Raw genomic sequence first — 4630 nt, 5'->3', positions numbered from 1 at the left:
AATTTAGATGTTTTTTAGATGATTGTAGATATTCTTTTTTGATAACTACACCTAAACTCAACATATAGTAGTTTCTTACAGATCAGTAGCAATGTGGAATCTGAAACCATATCAGTAAACTTTTTGTACTCTGTAACACTAAAATCCATTGGTTTTTGTTGCACTCGAATGGAATCTGTGCTCATGCAGAATTTATAATACCATGCATTGATCTTTCAGAAAATATCGGTTCACTGAGTTATTAGAGCTTCCAAAGGTTAACACATTTCATTATAGATATTTTTAAATATCACATTCCTTAAAGCCAGAATTAGAAAATTCAATGAGTACTGAGATCATGATGGTGGAACTAGACTTTGGAAATTCCAGTTTTCTAGTAGAAGTTCGACTTTTATTGTTGGCAACAGACATCGTCAGTTGTTTCTCATAGTGAAAAGCTCACTTTGTTCATTTTAGAGAAAATGTCTGCCAAAGATCCAAGTCTGAACAATGATAGCTAGTCTGTAGATTGTTTATTCAAGAAAAAATGTTGTTTCATAAAAAAGTGGCTAGCTCACCCCTTAATTTACATGATCTTAGTGCTTTTCTTCAAGATAATTATTATACTTTGATAGGGAGCAGAAATGCTTCATGCATGCTTTCCATTTTGTCATATGCAATATTAATATTAAAAAGTTATCTACTTGAGAGTCAGGATTTATTTTGATTAATAATTTTTGCTGCTTCATCAAGAAAATTCTTATGTGAAAACAGCTTTTTTTAAAACCACAAGTATGTTGCATTGACAATTATGACTACTATTTAGATTTGGCGCCACTACCTTGATTCCTGCTGAGGCGCCAGCAGTTTACCCACCATTGTTTTTGTATGATTAGTGCAAATGTCAGCCTAGTGGAAAAGGCAAATCACATCTTAGTATTATAATGAAAACAGTTTTTACCTCACTGACTCTCTGAAACAATCTTAGAGACGCAAAGAGACTGGGAGACCACATTTTGAGAACTGCTGGTCCAAGTTAATTACAAAAAGAAACCTCTTGCATTATCATTTTCTAAGCACCTTTGAGGCTATCAACTTTGTGTTAATGGTCATGTTATTATTTTTTGTTGAATTCTTATCTTTCCCACTATACTGGAAGTGCTGCATGTCAGGGAACTGTCTCCAGCTTGTCCACAGCTGAATTCCCATCACTCAGCCTTGTGCCTGGCATTTAACTAAATAATTGTTAAATGATGACATAAAATGCAGTGATTGCTGTCTGAGTCTTTTTCATACCAGGAGAAAGTATCATTGCCTTAGCCCATGAATATGATGCAATTGTTTCAGTAATGATGGGAGGGGCTACGTGGATGGTTAGGAGCCAGGGCATGAATGTGAGACAGACCGCCTGTGTGTCTGTGGATAAGTTACTCAATCTTTAAATGATATTTAAGCCATTTAGATGACATCTTTCATCTGAGTCCTTCGGCTTCTTCTGGTGAGGTTCTTAGGGACTCTCTATGTATGGGGAGCTGATGGCCTACCTTTTCACGATGCCAGCACAGTTGCCTTCAAGATTTTGGGTGCTTCGAGTCCCAAAGTGCTTCACGCCCTGCAGTGAATCTTTCTGATACTAACTTTGCTTTTAAATCACATCCTATAGAACTGTTCATCCATCAATTCTGTCTTACCAGCCTGTGTCTTCTCATGTATTGGGAAATAAGTTCAAAGCAGAAGAACATGCCGGATCTGAGCTTGTAGGAGAAATTTAGGCCAACCCCTTACCACCTTCCACCTGCAGTATTGGGACATGGGGCTGGAGGTGTCTTTCTGGTTGCATTCCCATTTGCTTTCATGTTAATTGGCTCTGTCTTTACAGACCCAATTTATTTGGTGATTTTCTGGTTACTATTTCCCCACTTCATTAACAATTTGTAATTAAAGGGCTTTATCTGTCTGTGACTTAGTGAGCCAATAGGCTGGTCCAAATAACGGTATTGATATTTTGGGAACACTCAGCATTGTGTTCATATATGCATAGCTGCAAGATTTTTTTTATGGGAGAACATAGTGTAATGATTTTTTTCTTCTTTTGAAAGAAAAAACAAAACAGAGTAATCCAGTAACCTGAATTTGAGGAATTTGGGAGCTGCATAGTCAGGCCTGCGATTTGCTCCAAGTATTGTTGACGCTGGAGAGTTCCACGGTTTCACGCCCTGGCCTTTGCGCTCCATCGCTTTACCCGTAACCTCAGACCATTCACATTACTTTAGCTTCTGGTTTGAAACCAACTCTCTGTTCTCTTACAGTTGGATTTAAAAAGCTATGAAAATCGATCCTCCCCAGAGGATTTAAAAGATGGTTAAAATTGACAGGAAATCCATTTATGGCTGTGTGGACGCCTCCAAGGTAACTACAGCAAAGTGTGGTCTACCCTTGGAGAGGCAGAAGGACTTGGACTTAGGAAGGACTTAGATTCTCCCCGTTTTGGTTCTTCCCTTAACTCTCTATCTGATCTTGGGCCAGTGGTTCCATTTCTTTGGTCATTCATTTCCACCTCACTTCTTTTTTTTTTTTGAGATGGAGTCTCACTCTGTCGCCCAGGCTGGAGTGCAGTGGCACGATCTCGGCTCACTACAACCTCTGCCTCCCAGGTTCACGCCATTCTCCTGCCTCAGCCTCCTGAGTAGCTGGGACTACAGGTGCCTGCCACCACGCCCGGCTAATTTTTTGTATTTTTTTAGTAGAGACAGGGTTTCACCATGTTAGCCAGGATGGTCTCAATCTCCTGACCTCGTGATCCGCCCGCCACGGTCTCCCAAAGTGCTGGGATTACAGGCGTGAGCCACTGCGCCTGGCCCCCACCTCACTTCTTATAAGATTGTGGTGAAAGTCAAAGGAGAGGCATTCACAAGATGTTTTGAAAAATTACAAGTTGTATATCAAAGCACTAATTACTCATAAGGAATTATGCCAAATCTCCCTCTCTCTCTACCTATAAATTAATGACATCTCTTGCTACCCACACTAGGTAGAGATACAGACTGGTAGGTGGAAGTTATGAAAGCACTTTCAAAACTACAAGGTCACACATGCATGCAAGACACTATTAGAGATTGCGATTTCTAACAGTGAAGCTAGCCCTGTGGCTAGTGGTGCCTTTATCTTGAGAAAAGGCTGCTGGTTGACCATAGTGCAATTTATTGGAGGGGTAAGTGGAGGGGGCCCTTGAACAGTGACTCTGAGCTGGTTTGCACGGCTGGGGTTAGGCTGAGACGTTTTCTTATCCTTTTACCTTCCTCAGTTTCTTCCTTTTGAGTTTCTTTCCCTCTTCCTCTTTCCCCTTTGTGTTTTTATTTTATTTATTCATACTACAGAAGTAATACTGATCACTGCTGAAATATTTAGAAAATGTACAAAATATTAAAGATGCAGAGAAAAACACAGAATTACATCTTCTTGAGTCAAACTCTGTTAAGACTTTGACCTATTTCCTTCCTTATGCTGTTGTTATTATTTTTTAACTATGCATTTTAACTATGCATTTTTCTACTAACAGTAGGTAGAGAGGCAGACTGGTAGGTGGATCTCAACTATTCATTGAGAGCCCTTTGCTTATGAAGTTTTGATATCCTGCTAAAACCTCATTTTTGATTACAGCATAGTAGAACCTTGACGATCACTGGGGATGGATCTTAAGACCTTCTTGAATTTCCATATCTGCTAACACTTGCATAGAATATAATTTCCCCAATCAAACTTCCCTTCTTTAAAATACCTTCCTTTCTTTCCCTCAGCAGTTGAGTCTGTTCAGGGTCTCTTCCCATAAATTAGGACAGTGATAACAATTGCCCATTGACTGGGGTCCATCATGGCCCATTGACTGGGGTCCCATCATTAACTATGGAACTAGATCTCATCACCCCATTCACCATGCTTGAAACTCAAATTCACATGACCAAAAATAGCAAATGACTCATGTCTTGAACTTTCAGGATTATGTGTGAATATAGAATAAACCTCAAATATTCAACTGTGACAGCCAAGGGTCTCCTGAGCTCCACACCACTGAGTAAGAGGGGAAGTTCAAGATTCTGTCTCATCTGTACTCAATCCTCTCCCAGGTGGAGTTTGGAGAATTGAAGCCTCAGAGAATCACCTCACTCAGCTTCATTGCCATTGAGGGAGGGGTGACTTACAGCAAAATCTTTATTTTCTAGCTGGTAAAAGGGAGTGAGGTGGGGTTAACTGCAACGTGACCCATAAGCTGCCCACCAGAATCTCATCAGGGCCCAGTAGAGGTCCCCTATCAAATGGCTGCTGGAAAATGCAAATGTTGACCTCTCTCTCCCCTCTGCACTTGAGCTTATCCTGAGTGGAATCAGAATTCTCTCCTCCATATCACTCAAACCCATGACTTCACACCAGGGCCTCCTTTTCTATGCACTGGAACCATTATCCTACCGGGCAATCCCATTTTTCTACGTTTGGGATTTCAAGGGAGCTGATAGCATCCTCCATGGAGTAGGACTCATTGTCCCAGGACTTTTGGAACTTATATTAAATAACTTCAAGGTGGTTCATTAGAGGCAGCTTACACATTGCAAGCGAGAGAACGACAAGACAGTGGTTTTGGGAAAAGAGAACAAAG

Source organism: Homo sapiens, chromosome 10, assembly GCF_000001405.40.
Source record: "Homo sapiens chromosome 10, GRCh38.p14 Primary Assembly".
Lineage (NCBI taxonomy): Eukaryota > Metazoa > Chordata > Mammalia > Primates > Hominidae > Homo > Homo sapiens.
This window is presented reverse-complemented; position numbering follows the sequence as displayed.